We start from the raw sequence: 17,312 nt of genomic DNA, 5'->3' as shown, positions 1-17,312 counted from the left end.
CTAGACTCTGGGATGAATATTCCTGCCCTCTTAACAGGATGAGAATGCTCTAGGATGAATAGAGGTGCAGAAATCATTTGACAGTGTGAGAAATGCTGCAGCATTTGGAGAGTGTATGCATGTGGAGGCTTGGGAGAGGGAGAGGGACTCTCTGGTTGTCAAGGGGTGGGAGATGAAAGTTGGTCCCTCGACTCACTACAAGGCTTACAGATGCTTTGAGCTCTTGAAATGCCCTCTGCACTCTCCAAGGACACCTATGTGGGGGAACCCTCATGGATGGTGAAGCTTCTGGGGTAATGGAGAGTGGGTGTGGGTGCTCAGGGACTTGCGAGGTCGTTTAATATCATCCCAGGCCAGGCACCACCTGTAATCCCAGCACTTTGGGAGGCCGAGGCAGAAGGATCACTTGAGGCCAGGAGTTTGAGACCAACTTGGGCAACATGGTGAGACTTCATCTCTAAAATATATATATAGTCCGGCCGGGGTGGCTCATGCCTGTAATCCCAACATTTTGGGAGGCTGAGGCAGGTGGATCACCTGGGGTCAGAAGTTCAAGACCAGCCTAGCCAACATGGCAAAACCCCGTCTCTACTAAAAGCCGGGTGTGGTGGTGGACGCCTGTAATCCCTGCTACTCAGGAGGCTGAGGCAGGAGAATCACTTGAACCTGGGAGGCAGAGATTGCAGTGAGCCAAGATCTCACCACTGCACTTCAGCCTGGGTGACAGAGCGAGATTCTGTCTCAAAAAAATAAAAAGAAGGCCGGGTGCAGTGGCTCACGTCTGTAATCCCAGCACTTTGGGAGGCCGAGGCAGGTGGATCACCTGAGGTCAGGAGTTCGAAGCCAGCTTGGCCAACACGGTGAAACCCCATCTCTACTAAAAATACAAAAAATGGCTGGGCCTGGTGGCAGACGCCTGTAATCTCAGCTACTTAGGAGACTGAGGCAGGAGAATTGCTGGAACCTGGGAGGTGGAGGTTGCAGTGAGCCAAGATCTCACCATTGCACCCCAGCCCGGGCCGACAACAGCGAGACTCCGTCTCTCTCTCTCTCTCTTTCTCTTTCTCTTTCTCTCTCTCTGTATATATATATATGTATATTTAAAATTAGCCAGGCACGGTGGTTTCAGCCTGTAGTCCCAGCTATTCAGGAGGCTGAGATGAGAGAATTACTTGAGCCAGGAGTTCAAGGACCCTGTCTCTTTAAAAAAAAAAAAAATCATTTCAGTTGTCCCTGCTATTTGCCAGGCTATCTTGTAGCCTAGGGTCCACCAAATGCCACCAACTCAGGTCCCACCTTCACAACTTTGGCCATATTCATTTGCAACCTGGGCTCTTATGTACTTAATATTTGTATTTAAATTGATTAACGTCCTCCCCCTACAATTTTTCATTTTGACAAATTTCAAACCTACAGGAAAATTGAAAGAATAGTGTGAAAAACATCCATATAGCCCCTTAGCTAGATTCACCAATTGTTAACATTTTTGCCACAATTTGCTTTTTCTTTTCTTTCTTCTTTTTTTTTTTTTTTTGAGACAGGGTCTTGCTCCGTTGCCCAGCAGACCCTGCACAGACACTGCCCAAGCTGGAGTGCAGTGGCACAATCATGGCTCACTGCAGCCTCAACCTCCCAGGTTCAACTGATCCTCCCACCTCAGCCTCCTAAGTAGCTGGAACTACACCTAAGTTTTTGTATTTTTTTTTTTAATAGAGGCAGGGTTTTTCCATTTTGCCCAGGCTGGTCTCAAACTCCAGGGACTCAAGAGAGCCTCCCTTGGTCTCCCAAAGTGCTGGTATTACAAGTGTGAGCCACCTCGCCTAGCTTACAATTTGCTTTCTCTTTATTTCTCTCCATATATACACTTAAAAAAAAACATAGATTTATGGTAGGGGGCACTAAAGGTACTTAAATAAGCTTTCTTTCTTTCTTTTATTTTTTTTTTTGAGAGGGAGTCTTGCTGTGTCACCCAGGCTGGAGTGCAGTGGCACGATATTGGCTCACTGCAACCTCTGCCTCCCAGGCTCAAGCAATTCTGCCTCAACCTCCCAAGTAGCTGGGCCCGCGCCATCACACCCGACTAAGTATTGTATTTTAAGTAGAGATGGGGGTTTCACCATGTTGGCCAGGTTGGTCTTGAACTCCTGACCTTAGGTGATCCACCTGCCTCGGTCTCCCAAAGTGCTGGGATTACAGGGGTGGGCCACTGCAACCAGGCTTAAATAAGCTTTCTATTTCAGAATAGTTTTAGATTTACAAAAAAGTTGCAAAGATAGTACAGAGGGCTCTATCCACCCTCTACGGATTTCTTATTGTTTTTCTTAACTGTTCATCGTACATTACTATGGTACATTTGTCAAGACCAATGAACCATTATAGTTACACTATTGTTAATTTAACTTTATACTTTATTAGGATTTTGTTAGCTTTTCCCTTATCTGGTGGATTCACTTTTAAACTGGAAAAAAAACAACACCAAAAAAATAGAATGTTCATGGAAAACCATGATCAATTGCCAAACACAGTTCTAGCTAGATGCTGTTAGCAGTGGAATGACCTAAGCGTGGGGCCGGCTTTCTCTTTGTTAAAAAGGGAGATTGGCCAATGTTAGGTGTTAAAGACAGGCTAGCTCAAGCTGAGACTTTCTCCCGGCCAAATGGCATTGAACCAGCATGGTCATAGGAGGGAAATGGCTTTCTCACTATGAGATTCAGTGTTTAGTGCCCAGTCTGTGTGTCATCTAAAGTCAGCTTGGGTGGCACCCCTTCGGGAGGCCCACTTTGAGAAACACTGAAAGGTCTGGCTGTGCCACATCCGAAGAAGGCTGGAAACCCAGACCTGAGGCTGCCGGGCTCCAAACCTGGAGCTTCCTTCTGCCCTGGAAGATGGGGTCAGGGCTGGGTGCCCTGATTGGTGGTGGTTGTGGGGGATGGGGGGCTGTGGGGAATATCATTTGTCTTGTCTAGTAACTCCCCTAGCTGTTTTCCCAAAGCTGGCAGGCGTTTAACAAGTGATGGACAGAAAAGAGCACACTGCAGAATTCTATCCACAGCTCCTTGTCATGAACACAAGGGCCATTTATTTGCCCGTCCTGTCGGTGAGATGCATGTGGCCATATATTTAGTCAGTGAGGGGGTGGGAAGTGGCTGAAATGAAATGGCTTTCTCAACTGCCCTTTGCATAATGTCTGAACTTGTTCATATTCATTCCTTGAAAATGCTTCAAAGTGGTTTTTGTGTTTTATTAGTTAGAGTAGGTGATATTGCTTCCTGAAACCAAATCTTTGCTTTCCAATATATATCTGCCGACCTCATTTCCAGGAGACTTCAGCCCACTACAAACTAACTCGATGGCTCTCCTACCCTGAAGGAATTTCACTCTGGAATAAGTCACTGTTGGCTCATGGGTCTGGACATCTAACCGGAGGTGATTCAAACTAGAATGTTTGCAGAATTTCTGGGTTCACCCCTAAGGATTGCTCTTTCTTCCTTATTTCCTTCCTTTCATTTTTTTCTTTTCTTTTCTTTTTTGTCTCTCGCTCTCTTTCTTTTCTTCCTTCCTTTCTTTCTTTCTTTCTTTTCTCTTTCTTTCTTTCTTTTTGGTGGGGGCTGGGGGTGTTCTTTGTTTTTTTTTTTGGGACGGGGTCTCACTCTGTCACCTAGGTTGGAGTATGGTGGTGGGATCTCACTGTGCCTGTAATCCCAGCTGTTCAGGAGGCTGAGCGGGGAGAATCGCTTGAACCCGGGAGGCAGATGTTGCAATGAGCTGAGATTGCACCACTGTACTCTGCCTCCTGAGCTCAAACAATCCTCCCACCTCAGCCCCCTCAAGTAGCTGGAGCTACAGGTGAAAGCCACCACGCTCAGCTAATTATTGCTTTGTACTTTTTTTTTTTTTTTTTGAGATGGAGTTTTGCTCCTGTTGCCCAGGCTGGAGTGCAATGGTGCAATCTCAGCATACTGCATCCCCCACCTCCTGGGTTCAAGAGATTCTCCTGCCTCAGCCTCCTGAGTAGCTGGGATTACAGGCATGTGCCACCACTCCCGGCTAATTTTGTATTTTTAGTAGAGACAGGGTTTCTCCATGTTGGCCAGGCTGATCTCGAACTCCCAACCTCAGGTGATCTGCCCTCCTCGGCCTCCCAAAGTGCTGGGATTACAGGCGTGAGCCACTGCGCCCGGCCTTTTTTTTGTACTTTTATTAAATATGGGGTTTCACCATGTTGCCCAGGCTGGTCTTGAACTCTTGAGGTTAAGCGATCCGTCTGCCTTGGCCTCCGAAAGTGCTAGGATTACAGGTGTGAGCCCCCATGCTCAGCCTGTTTCTTTCTTTCTTTTAATTATTATTATTTTATTTTATTAATTTAAAAAATAGAGACAGGGTCTCACTATGTTGCCCAGGCTGGTTTCAAACTCCTGCCCTCAAGCAGCCCTCTCACCTCAGGCTCCCAAAGTGCTGAGATTACAGGAGCATGAGCCACTGCTTCCTGCAGAATGCTGTTTATTTCTGACCTGACCTATGGTAGAATTATTTTAGTCCAAGGAAGCAAACGGTTGGGATGAAATTTTCTCCACATAGGGGTGCAATGTCCCCAAAGAAGATAGATGGGTCGGGTGCGGTGGCTTATGCCTGTAATCCCAGCACTTTGGGAGGCCAAGACAGGCAGATCACTTTAGGTCAGGGGTTAGAGACCAGCCTGGCCAACATGGTGAAAAGCAGTCTCTACTAAAAATACAAAAATTAGCCAGGCGTGGTGGCAGGCACCTGTAATCCCAGCTACTTGGGAAGCTGAGGCAGGAGAATTGCTTGAACCTGGGAGGTGGAGGTTGCAGTGAGCCAAGATCGTGCCACTGCACTCCAGCCTGGGAAACAGAGCGAGACTCCGTTTAAATAAAAAATAAAACACATTTTTTAAAAAGAAGGAAGATGGCTGGGACAAAAGTAACAGACCAATCTATTCTCACTTTTAGAAATGAAAGGATTACAGGTAAAAGCGTCACTCCCAAACTCTTTTCCCAGAGGTAGCAACTCAGTTTGGTTTACATCCTTCCAGCCTGTCTTGCTGTCTAAGTGTTTCCACAGTGTTTCATTTTATGTGTGTAAAGGGGGAATGTTACACAATCAGCATTCTACCAAATGTATCATGCTGACCCCCTTTTCACTCAGTAATATGTCTTGGAGATCCACCTCTGCTCTTCAATACAGACATAGCTCTTTTAAAACTGCTGGCTAAGCTGACACAGTGGCTCATGCCTGTAATCCTAGCACTTTAGGAGAACAAGATGAGAGGATCACATGAGGCCAAGAGTTTGAGTCCAGCCTGGTCAACATAGTGAGACACCATCTTTATTTTTAAAAATAAAAAAATAAGAAAAAAAAGTACCTTGCTGCCTCATCCCAACCTGGGAAACATGGCAAGACCCTGACTCTACAAAAAATGTTTTAAAAAAATTAGCCAGGCATGGTGGGTCACGTCTCTGGTCCCAGCTGCTTGGGAGGCTGAGGCAGGAGGATTGCTTGAGCCCAGCAGATGGAGGTTGCAGTGAGCTGAGATCACACCACTGTACTTCAGCCTGGATGACAGACAAGGCCCATTGTCAGGAAACAAAAAACAAAAAACCGCTGCCTGATGTACCATATCTTTCACATCTTGTTCAAGCAGTCATTATTGGATGAGCATTTCAGTTATTTCCCATCATTTCCTATGATAAGCAGCTCTCAGCAAGCATCTCTGTGCCTGTCTCCTGTGCACAGGCATAAGTAGTAGGAGACCCTCATCTCTGGTTTTCAGAGGTCTTTGCCAAATTACCCTTCAGAGTCTGTGTGTGTGCTTTAATGGGGAGGGGTGTCCGTTCCTGTTCTTTGGTGCTGTTTATTTCTGGTTTCTTTTCCACACTAGCTGCAGAGTGGAAAGGAGCCAAGGCGAGGGAGAGAAATCTGTCTCTAGGTGTTCCAAGGCCCTGGATGTGCCACAGGGCTGGCCTCCCCTCCGGAGGCGGTAAATGGCTGCTTTGTTCTTGGGTCCGTCCCTGAGCAGAATCAGGACGCAGAGATGTGTCAAGTGGACAAAAGAAATTGTGCACATCACCAAGCCTGGATCCCACCCCTTGACCTGGAGAAACTGTTAACTTTGTAGGAGTCGCACACACACCAGTGTGACTGGGCAAGGGGCGAGCGCCCACCCCGAACCCTGAAATAATTAAGTTATACAAAAGAAAAAAAAACATAACAAAAGAGCCTGACCCTCACTAATGGATGTAAAGGAAAGAACCAAGCTGACTCTCAATCTAGGAGAAGTGGGAGGCGCAAAGGGGGAAAGGGGCTTGGGGGAAACCCAGGACGGAAGGAAGGGGTGTGCAATGGATCAGATCTGGACTGAAGAGGCGGACAGATGGGAAAGGGGAAAGAAAGGAGGGAAAGGAGAAAGAGTGAGGAAGGGGCTGGAGGAAAGTGACAAGGTAAGAAGAGGAAGGAGAGGGCTGGAGGAGGGAGGGGGTGGCCAAGAGCAGTTTAGGAGGGGTAGGCTGCGTCCCAGTCTGTTTGTGATTAGCACGCAGCCTGGTGCAGAATGGAGTAAACAGAAACTTCCAGGCGTCCCCTCCGCCCCTCTCTGAGGCAAAGCAGAAATCAGATGCTCTGTGATTAATCGTGGAGGATTCAGGACACGACCACAAACGCTGTGCGGACTTGAAATTAGCTGCCTTTTCCCAGTCCCCTTGCCAAAATGGGAGTGGGGGGTGGGACGTGAAGGGGTGGGGGCCCCGCCTGCTGGGGGCCAGCATGGAATTCCCCCCGGCAGAGCTGGGAGTGACACTGACAAGCAATCGGCCGCGTCCAGAGCAGCAGGCGGCATCCGGGGGGAGCGGGGCCGGCTGGGGGGCCCCAGGAGGGCTTCCTGGAACCCCAGCTCCATGGCCGCCTGCACCCTGACACAGGCCAGATAAGAGTCCCGGCTGCATTATCAGAGCCCGGCAGGGCACCGGCCTCCCTGCACCAGAAGGAAGACTCGGGGCGCAGCAGGTCCTCAAGGCGATCTTCCCAGAGAGCGGGACCAGCGGCTGGTGGCCAGTGTGGATGGAATTTGCAGAGCCCTAGCTCGAGTCCGGGAGTCCCGGGCCAGATGGGAGCAGACGCTTGCTGGCGGCAATAGGGAAAGTGAGGCAGCTGCAAGGAGGGCGGCGGGACTGCACTCGAGTGTCCAGACCTGCTCGATGGTGAGTGTGAAGTGACTGCTCCCCATGTGTGCCGTGACGCCGCCTTGTGTGGACAGACTTCTGGAGCTGGGGGTGACAGGAGGAGGCAGCCGTTCCTCACAGGCCACCTGGAGCTCCCAAGGCCGGAGGAGGGAACCTGGGTTGAGGCTGAGATGGGATGGCGGTATCGTGCTGTGTGGCCTTAGGCAAGTTATTTGCCCTCTGCAGGCCTCCATTTGTCCGTTTCTAAAACAGTGGTTGAACTAGGTGATCTTTAAGAGATTCTCATGATGACAGCTATTCCTTGTGTATCTGCTATACGCCAGGCACTGTGTAGGCATTTTTGAAGCGTCGGCTCGGGAAATCCCGGTAAGCCCCCTGCAGGGTAAGTATTATTGGTGTCCTCATTGTACCCTGAGGAAACAGCAGCTGGGCGAAGTGAAGTGACTTGCTGAGGTCACACAGCCGGTCAGTGGCAGAAACGAAAAAAGACCTAGGTTTTTCTGACTTGCTTTGGCTAAACTCTCCTGTACACCCCCAGTATTCTGTATTCTGTGCTCCATGGTTCTGCAATTATCCCAAGCAGCAGGGGTGAAGGAGAAGGAGGTATGGATGGAGCATTACCTGCAGGAAGGAGGCAGAGGTGGGACAGAAGGAGTGACAGGCTGACACTGGCAAGCAGCCTTTTACTCTCTAAAGGATGTGTCAGCCCAGGGTGGAGGCTGGCTGCCCTGGGATGGGGCAGGGGCTCCAGGCTTGAACGAAGAGTGCCCAGTGCAATTTCCTAGATTTGCTGCCTTGTCGTAGGAGGCTCCTGGGGGCATGAGAGAAGAGGGTTAATATGTCAGAGGTGGAGAGAGCTGGGGGCAGGGAGACTGGCATATGCCTCAACTAGGTTTTGTTCCAATTTTATTTTGCCTTTGCAGAAAATCTGTTTCGAATCACTCTGGGCCCGTGCAGTGTTTTTGGATGAAACAGAATTGTGAAACGCATACAGCGCTTTCCACATGCCTCCCCTGGGGGGAATCACATATTAATATTATCGTAAGCTATTTGCATATATATCCCTGCAGCTGTGGCTGGCAGCAGCCAAGAGATAAGAGACAGATAAAGTCAGCTCGTGTCTCCCTGGCACGGAAAGGGAGGGTGCAGGTTACACTCAAGGGCCAGGAAACACACAGCAGGTGGGGAATCCCTGGGGTTCCAGGCATCGGGCCAGAGTGAAAGGTCCCAGCACCCAGATGTGGCCTTTTCTTTTTTCTTCCCTTGGAAAATTCCATCCCAAAGCAGCTCTGTACTGATCCAGGCCTCCTTTCCTTTCAGGGACTGGCTGTGAACCCCCCACCACCCACCTTGGGGACAAGTCAGCCCTGAGTTGTGGTCTCAGATCTGGGAGCAACTTGTCCAGAAGCCCCCCCAGTCCCAGGTAAACTGGGACAATTGGTCACCCTACCCAGTTCCACCCTGGATTTTCTCTGTGACCTTGAGCAAGTCACTTCCCTTCTCTCAGCTTCCTCGTCTTTAAAACAAAGGGACTATTTCAGGAAACCTCTAAAATCTCTCCGCAACCCTGAGATTCCATGAGTCTGGTTGAAGAGCGCTTAAGTTCCGAACTGAGAACTTAAGCGTCTGAGAGTAAGATGTCTGAGAGTAAGATCAAGTTTGGAGTGAGGCTGGGCGCGGTGGCTCACGCCTGTAATCTCAGCACTTTGAGAGGCCAAGGCAGGCGGATCACCTGAAGTCAGGTGTTTGAGACTAGCCTGGCCAACATGGTGAAACCTCATCTCTATTAAAAATACAAAAATTAGCTGGCCGTGGTGGTGCGTGCCTATAGTCCCAGCTACTTGGGAGGCTGAGGCAGGAGAATCACTTGAACTGGGGAGGGAGAGGTGCAGTGAGCTGAGATCGTGCCACTGCACTCCAGCCTGGCCAACAGAACGAGACTTCGTCTCAAAAAAAAAAAAAAAAAAAAAAGAAGTTTGGAGAGGAGTAAATCTCCCCACCACTTCCCTAGAGAAGTCCAGGATGGTACTGGAGGAGGCGGGAATGAAGGTGGACTTGGGGAAAAGGACTGATGGCCTGTGGTACCACCTGCATGGGTGTCGGTTGTAACAACCCTATGGCCCTGCAGCTTCTGAGGTGCCTAATGGGTTGTTGAAAGCGTATCATGATTTTGTGGCTCAGCGTTTGTGCTAAGTGATTTGGCCCAGATGCCCACTGGTTGCTGAGGTTTTCCCCATCAGAACCTCAGTGCTCCCCCCAGGGTCCCCCAGTTCATCCTGGGGAGCTCCAAAGGGGTATTTCGAGTGCCTTTGTGAACCAGTCTCTAGTTTTATTCATCCTTCCTGCTTCCTCTTTCCTCTGAGGCCATTTGGAGATGCTTCCCTGCCCAGCACAGCAGCGTCCATGGTGCCATCTCTGTAAACTCCCAAAGCTTCCCGCTGTTTAGTGCTTGAGATACCCTGGGTTCTGGGCAGATGTGAAGAGAATGGCTTCCTCCTCAGTTCGGTGATATTCTTTGCCATGTTGTCCCCAGACAGAGGTGTGCTGGAGGCAGCTTGTGCCAGCTTGTGAAAGCTGATTGTCAGATTTTCAGGAATTAGGTGAACGGGTTGCTAAACACACCATTGTTAAAAATTAAATTATATGAACTTACAATTCAATAAATTCTATGAAAAACAAAGGTAGTCAAGGCTGAGTGTGGTGACTCATGCATGTAATTCCAGCATTTTGGGAGGCTGAGACAGGAGGATCATTTGAGCCCAAGAGTTTGAGACCAGCCTGGGCAACATAACAAGACCCCATTTCTACAAATAATTTGAGAAAAAACTAGCCGAGTGTGGTGGTGCGTGCCTGTAGTCCTAGCTACTCAGGAGGCTGAGGTGGGAGGATTGCTTGAGCCCAAGAGGTTGAGGCTGCCATGAGCTGTGATCTCACCATTGCACTCCAGCCTGGGCCACAGAGCAAGACACTGTCTCAAAAAAATAAAAATACATAAACAAATAATTAGAAATTTTTTAGAAAGGAAAATATTAACTGGTATTTCTGAAGAATTACACTCCTTCATCAATTGTAACCATAGGTTGATTACAGATTTTGCTGGGGGCAAAAATCAACAAAACTGCTACCTGTGAGTGAAATGATTATATTACATTTATAAAAGAAAAGGTATTGTAAGTTTTATTTTTATTTGTAAATTGTGTGCTGCACATCATTTACATCAAAACAATTTTTTTTTTTTTTTGAGATGGAGTCACACTCTGTTGCCTAGGCTGGAGGACAGTGGCGTAATCATGGCTCACTGCAACTTCCGCCTCCCAGGTTCAAGCAATTCTCCTGTCTCACCTTCCCAAATAGCTAGGATTACAGGCACCCGCTACCATGCCTGGCTAGTTTTTTATATTTTTGGCAGAGACAGGGTTTCACCATGCTGGCCAGGCTGGTCTCGAACTCCTAACCTCAAGTGATCCACCTACCTCAGCCTCCCAAAGTGTTGGGATTACAGGCACGAGCCACTGCGCCCAGCCTACGTCAATACAATTTATAATAAACCGAAGTATATGTGTGTGTGGATATGCAAATATATGTACTCGCCCATGCACACTTGTGCACCACACACTCACTTTCCCTTGGAGAGCTGGTTGCTAAACCTTTGCCAGCATACCACTGGTTCCACAGCATCTATGGTTGTGTCTGGATTGTCAAAAATCGTCTCCTGAACAGTCCTCAGTCCTCTTCCAAAGGAATTCAGACCCCAGGCATGGGCCTTGGATGCAAATCTTTCAATTTCCCCATCTCACTTAAACCAGCAGCCAAACTCCTCTCTCTTGCCCGAAGCACTGGAGTGGATGCAGAGAGATCGGGTGGAGTAGAGATCCTGTCTACACTAGCGGCATGTGGGCCCCAGCTCCACCAGCGACACAGGCCCTGGTATGCACTCTCCATTGCGTCCACTGTGTCTGCATTTGCAGGGCATTTCTGGATTCTGTCCGCAGCGGCTCCCGATTAGTCCTCTTCCGTTTCTAGTCTGTCTCCTGCCATCCTTTGTTTTCATGCACAGCGAATGATGCCCTAACAGAAATGGCATCTTGGAACAAGTCAGAGGAACGGCTAAGCCAAACCTATAGGAAAAGTTCAGATAGCTTGCTATTTTTAGAAACTCTAGGAGCCAGGTGGGCCCTTTCCAGTTTTAAGGGCCTAAGCCAGCAAGCACGAGAGGAAAATATTTCTCATTCTCAAGTTCCGCTCTCTTATAGTCCAGGCCAAGGACAAGGCCCAGGTGGGACATTAGCTAAGAGAAACGCAACTGCAATACAAGAGGAGAACCATGCCCACAGCAGTTTAAAAGAGAACTAAAAAACGTGCACTTTTTTTTCTTTCTTTCTTTTTTTTTTTTTTAACAGAGTCTCGCTCTGTCGCCCAGGCTGGAGTGCAGTGGTGCGATCTCAGCTCACTGCAACCTCCGCCTCCTGGGTTCAAGTGATTCTCCTGTCTCAGGAGCTCCTGAGTAGCTGGGACTACAGGTGCCCACCACCACACCTGGCTAATTGTTGTATTTTTAGTAGAGATGGGGTTTCACCATATTGGTCAGGCTGGTCTCGAACTCCTGACCTCAGGTGATCTACCCGCGTAGGCCTCCAAAAGTGCTGGAATTACAGGCATGAACCACCATGCCCGGCCCCAAGCATGCGTGTTTTATTGTTTTGCGAGGTAGGAAGGGCGCGCCTGAGTTTAAACCTCAGTAGCTCCTATACTCACCCTGGGCCACCCCTGTTAAGAGCCCGTTGTCTTGGCCGGGCGCAGTGGCTCACACCTGTAATCCCAGCACTCTGGGAGGCCGAGGCGGGTGGATCACGAGGTCAGGAGATCGAGACCATCCTGGCTAACACAGTGAAACCCCGTCTCTACTAAAAATACAAAAAATTAGCTGGGCATGGTGGTGGGCGCCTGTAATCCCAGCCACTCGGGAGGCTGAGGCAGGAGAATGGCGTGAACCCGGGAGGCGGAGCTTGCAGTGAGCCGAGATTGCGCCACTGCACTCCAGCCTGGGGCAACAGAGCGAGACTCCTTCTTAAAAAAAACAAAGAAAGAGCCAGGCGTCTATGCTTTCAGGCCATTCATTCACTTCATTCCTATTTTTTTCTTTGTCACGTAATTTTAATTTTCAAAAATGGGATCATTCTATACATTTTATTCTGCATCTTCCTTCTTTCAACCAACAGGTGTCCTGGACATTTTTCCATGTGAGCCCATGAAGACCTAAAACATTCATTTTAATGCCCACATCACAGAAGTCCTAGAAGAGGAGGGTTTTTTTTTTTTTTTTTGAGACAGAGTCTCGTTCTGTCACCCAGGCTAGAGTGCAGTGGCGTGATCCTGCTCACTTCAACCTCTGCCTCCCAGGTTCAAGAAATTCTCCTGCCTCAGCCTCCCGAGTAGCTAGGATTACAGGCACATGCCACCATGCCTGATTTCTGTATTTTTAGTAGAGACGGGGGTTTCGCCATGTTGGCCAGGCTGGTCTCAAACTCCTGACCTCAGGTGATCCGCCCACCTTGGCCTCCCAAAATGCTGGGATTACAGGTGTGGGCCACCGTGCCCAGCCTATTTTTTAAAAAATTTTATCCCATCAGGCCAGGCGCAGTGGCTCATGCCTGTAATCCCAGCACTTTGGGAGGCCGAGGCACGTGGATCACGAGGTCAGGAGTTCAAGACAAGCCTGGCCAAGATGGTGAAACCCCGTCTCTACTAAAAATACAAAAATTAGCCAGGCGCAGTGGCGGGCTCCTGTAATCTCAGTTACTCGGGAGGCTGAGGCAGGAGAATCGCTTGAACTTGGGAGGCGGAGGTTGCAGTGAGCCGAGATCGCGCCACTGCACTGGGTGATAGAGCAAGACTCCATCTCAAAAAAAAAAAAAAAAAAATTCTATCCCATCATCAGCTCTCAAGAAGGGCTCAGTTTGGATGGCCATGTCTCTACTTTATAACCAGGTCTCAAACTTTCTTGACCCTTAAACACTTAAATAGAGCCCAGCCTCTCCCACTTTCCAGCAAAAAAGAAATTCTACACTGGACGTGGTGGCTCACACCTACAATCTCAGCACTTTGGGAGGCCAAGGCAGGAGGATCGCTTGAGACCAGGAGTTCAAGACCAGCCTGGTCAACATAGCAAGACCTTTGTCTCTACAAACATATTTTTAAAAATTAGCTGGGTGTGGTTGCATGCACCTGTGGTCCCAGGTACTCGGGAAACTGAGGTAGGAGGCTCACTTGAGCCCAGGAAGTTGAAGCTGCAATGAGCCATGTTTGTGCCACTGCAATCCAGCCTGAGTGACAGAATGAGACGCTGTCTCAAAAACAAAGAGGAACAGAAAAGAAATTCCGTTGGCTCCCCTGTCAACCTGCACCCAGAAGCTGACAGCTCTGTCACCTCCGCTCCCTCCACCCTGGTCCCAGCGGCCATGGTGTCTCTCTCTGGGCTATTGCAGTTGCCTCCCCACCAGTGTCTCTGCTTCTCCTCTTGCCTCCCTCCTGGTCTACTCTCCGTGTGCAGCCAGCAGGGTCCTGTTAAAATGAAATTAGATCCAGTTCCTTCTCTGTTCAGGACACCTCCTATCTCCAGCCCTGGTCCCACCTTGCCCAGAGCACAGGCAAAGTCCTCATCACGGCCCACAAGGCCTGCAGGGCCCAGGCCTCTCTAACCTTATCTCTCCTCCTTCCCACTCCCCACAATTGCTGTTCTTGAGGTCGGGCACAGTCCTGCCCCAGGACCTTTGCAATCGCTTTTCTCTATGCCTGGGTGCTCATTCTTCAGATATCCAAGTGGCCCACTTGTTCATATCGCGCAGGTCTTTACACAAACATCACCTTTGCAGCGAGGCCATCCTGACTCTCCATTTAAAATTACAGCTTCCTTCACTCCCTGGTCTTCTTCATCCCTTTTCTGGTTTATTTTTCTCCTTACCACACACGTCTCATCATCTAACATACATATATATTCTTATTTTCTTAAGTGTCCCCTGCTGGAATGTGAGTTTCCTGAAGGTAGGGATTTATTTTTTTTTTTGAGATGGAGCCTCACACTGTCGCCCAGGATGGAGTACAATGGTGTAATCTCGGCTCACTGCAACCTCTGCCTCCCGGGTTCAGGTGATTCTCCTGCCTCAGCCTCCCGAGTAGCTGGGATTATAGGTGCACACTACCACGCTTAACTAATTTTTGTATTTTTAGTAGAGACAGGGTTTTGCTATGTTGGCCACGTTGGTCTTGAACTACTGACTTCAGGTGATCCACCTGCCTTGGCCTCCCAAAGTTTCTGAGATTAGAGGTGTGAGACACTGCACCCGGCCTCCTCTAGAATTTTAAAAATGGACCTCAAGTAAGTAGAATTGACCAGGTGTGGTGGCTCACACCTGTAATCCCAGTACTTTGGGAGGCCGAGGCAGGTGGATCACCTGCAGTCAGGAGTTTGATACCAGTCTGACCAACAGGAGTAGAGACAGCCCGTCTCTACTAAAAATACAAAAATAAGACAGGTGTGGTGACATGAACCTGTAATCCCAGCTACTCGGGAGGCTGAGGCACAAGAATCACTTGAACCCAGGAGCTGGAGGTTGCAGCAAGCTGAGATCTCACCACTGCACTCCAACCTGGCCAATGGAGTGAGACTCCGTCTCAAAGAAAAAAAAAAAAGAAAAAGTAAGTAGGATTGAATGATTCATAATTCCATAATGACATACTGAAAGGGCACCTGAACAGCCCCACCTACACTTCCATCTAACAATCTCTTTATAGCTATTTATAAAATGATAAATGCCTGTGAACCCATGGTCCCACCTGCGTGCTGGAACTCAGACAACCATTTTATATCAACTTCCGAACTCTTTTCCCATCTTGCCTCCCTCCCTCTCTCACTGTGGTAGTAGCTGCTATCTTGAATTCTGTGTTTAGCTTTCCCTTGCCTTTCTAAAAATTGTGGATAGAATTTATCACTTTAGCCATTTTAAGGGTACAATTCAGCGGCATTACGCACATTCACAATGTTGGGCAATTATCAGCGCCATCCATTTCCAGAACATTTTCATCTTCTCAATTTCCCTTGCTTAAAAAAATAGTTTTATCACCAGGCACGGTGGCTCATGCCTGTAATCCCAGTACTTTGGGAGGCCAAGGCGGGCAGATCACCTGAGGTCAGGAGTTCGAGACCAGCCTGACCAACATGGAGAAACCCCGTCTCTACTAAAAATATAAAATTAGCCAGGTGTGGTGGTGCATGCCTGTAAACCCAGCTACTAGGGAGGCCGAGGCAGGAGAATTACTTGAACATGGCAGGCAGAGGTTGCGGTGAGCCAAGATTGCTCCACTGCACTCCAGCCTGGGCGATGAGTGCGAAACTCCGTCTCAAAAAAAAAAAAAGTTTTATCACTTACATGTATGCCAAAATAATATATCATTTACTTTTACTGCTGTTTGAACTTTACGTAAAGATATATCTTGTCTTCTGGCACATACATGCAGACACACACACACACACATATTTTGAGACAGGGTCTCACTCTGTCACCCAGGCTGGAGTGCAGTGGTGCAATCTCAGCTCACTGTAGCCTTGACTTCTTGGGCTCAGGTGATCCTCCCACCTCAGCCTCCCTGGTAGCTGGGACTACAGGCGTGCACCACCACACTTGGCTACGTTTTTGTAGAGACGGGGCTTTGCCATGTTGCATATTGCCCAGGCTGGCCTCAAACTCCTGGCCTCAAGCAATCAGCCTGCCTTAGCATCCCAAAGGGCTGGGATTACAGGTGTGAGCCATGGTGCCCAGCCCCTGCACTTACATTTTTATAAATCATTTTATTGCTAAAATTCGTTGATATAATTGCTTATCACTTGTTCATTCACTTTTCTCTGCTGTGTACTATTCCATGGCATACCAGCATTTATTTTTCCTGTCTATGACCATGTGGGTTGTTTCCATTTGTCAGTTTTGTTTGCTACATACACGGTTCTGCTTTGAGGGTTCTTGTACTGTCCTATTGCACACATACAGGAGTGTGTCTCAAGTTTGTACCTGGAAGTAGAATTGCTGGAATATGAAATCGTATGCTGAATTATCTTCTAATGGTTGTACCAATTCACAAGCCACCCTCTACACATGGCATTTGTCAAACATCTTACTTTTTGCCACCTGAATGGGTGGAATTTGCCCTAGATCTTGACTGACATCAAGGACGGGGCTGGAATGTCCAAAAGCCTTGAATGGGCTGCGTGTTTGTGACGTCCCACATCTTTGTGGCACAGCTTCTCCTGCAGGAGAGGCAAGCCTGGCAGCTGTGCTACAGAAAGGAACACATGGCGTAGGGATTACAGATCTGATAACATCAACTTTTCCTTCCTCCCCTCCACCTCCTTTTATTTGGTCTGGTTCTCAACGCGTGTGGGGAACGGTGTGGTGAGGAAGGGGCGAATCCTTGGTCCGTGACAGGCACTGTTGCATGCACTTTACAGATATTGCTGTTAATTATTTACCTCTCAGATCCTGCAAATGGAGGTGCCCTTAGAAGCCCCACTTTACAGATATGGAAACTGAGGAACAGAGAGGTTAAGTGACTTGCCTGAAATTACACAGGGAGTAAATGGCAGAACTGGGTTTGAATCCAGCTCTTCTGGCTTCGTCCAAGGTTTATGCTGCCTTTCAGTAGCGCCTGCAGTGAAGGGTTGCAAACTCCTCAGTCCTACAGACTTGGGTTCAAACCCTGGATCCCCTACCACCTCACTGTATACCTCTGAGCAGTTACATCACGTCTTTGAACCTCAATTTCTCTAAAATAAAAAGAGCTATCTTTTCCAGAAGCCTCATTATATGTTTTTTTTTTTCTAGTGCCTTATTGTTTCTTTTCTTTTCTTTTCTTTTTTTTTTTTTTTTTTGAGACAGAGTTTGGCTTTGTCGCCCAGGCTGGAGTGCAGTGGTGCAATCTTGGCTCACTGCAGCCTCCACCTCCTGGGCTCAAGCAGATCCTCCCATCTCAGCCTCCCAAGTAGCTGGGACTACAGGCATGCACCACCACGCCCAGCCAGTTTTTATTTTTTGCAGAGACTGGGGTCTCACTTTGTTGATCAGGCTG

At 48.5% G+C, this 17,312-nt stretch overlaps 1 protein-coding gene across 11 annotated transcripts in view, besides 2 other annotated features; it reads left to right on the top strand.

Annotated features, from left to right (window-relative positions):
* Positions 952–1,113: a silencer, noted in NCBI's record as "fragment chr20:49313764-49313925 (GRCh37/hg19 assembly coordinates)". NCBI's record gives its function as "represses an EF-1alpha promoter that drives an FKBP-Casp9 reporter gene in an ReSE screen in K562 erythroleukemia cells {active_cell/tissue: K562}" and the evidence as "EXISTENCE:reporter gene assay evidence [ECO:0000049][PMID:32094911]".
* Positions 5,715–8,570: an enhancer, noted in NCBI's record as "VISTA enhancer hs1860". NCBI's record gives its function as "enhancer in: midbrain (mesencephalon)[5/5]" and the evidence as "EXISTENCE:transgenic organism evidence [ECO:0001131][PMID:17130149]".
* The window catches only part of RIPOR3 (RIPOR family member 3), a 105,435-nt gene continuing 94,920 nt past the window's right edge, over positions 6,798–17,312 (top strand). For 7 of the 11 annotated variants that reach the window (XR_936505.3, XR_936506.4, XM_006723713.5 and 4 more), the window contains exon 1: positions 6,798–7,214. Coding sequence is in view for 5 of the 11 variants with exons in the window: in XM_006723713.5 (XP_006723776.1) it covers positions 7,212–7,214 (3 nt within the window). In the remaining 6 variants the exon portion in view is untranslated. Of the gene's footprint in view, positions 7,400–7,423; positions 7,579–8,516; positions 8,620–17,312 lie in introns of those variants that run through there. The other 4 variants (XM_011528579.3, NR_110890.2, XM_047439913.1 and 1 more) reach the window with 4 other exon arrangements.

Source organism: Homo sapiens, chromosome 20 (assembly GCF_000001405.40).
Source record: "Homo sapiens chromosome 20, GRCh38.p14 Primary Assembly".
NCBI lineage: Eukaryota > Metazoa > Chordata > Mammalia > Primates > Hominidae > Homo > Homo sapiens.
This window is presented reverse-complemented; position numbering and strand designations above follow the sequence as displayed.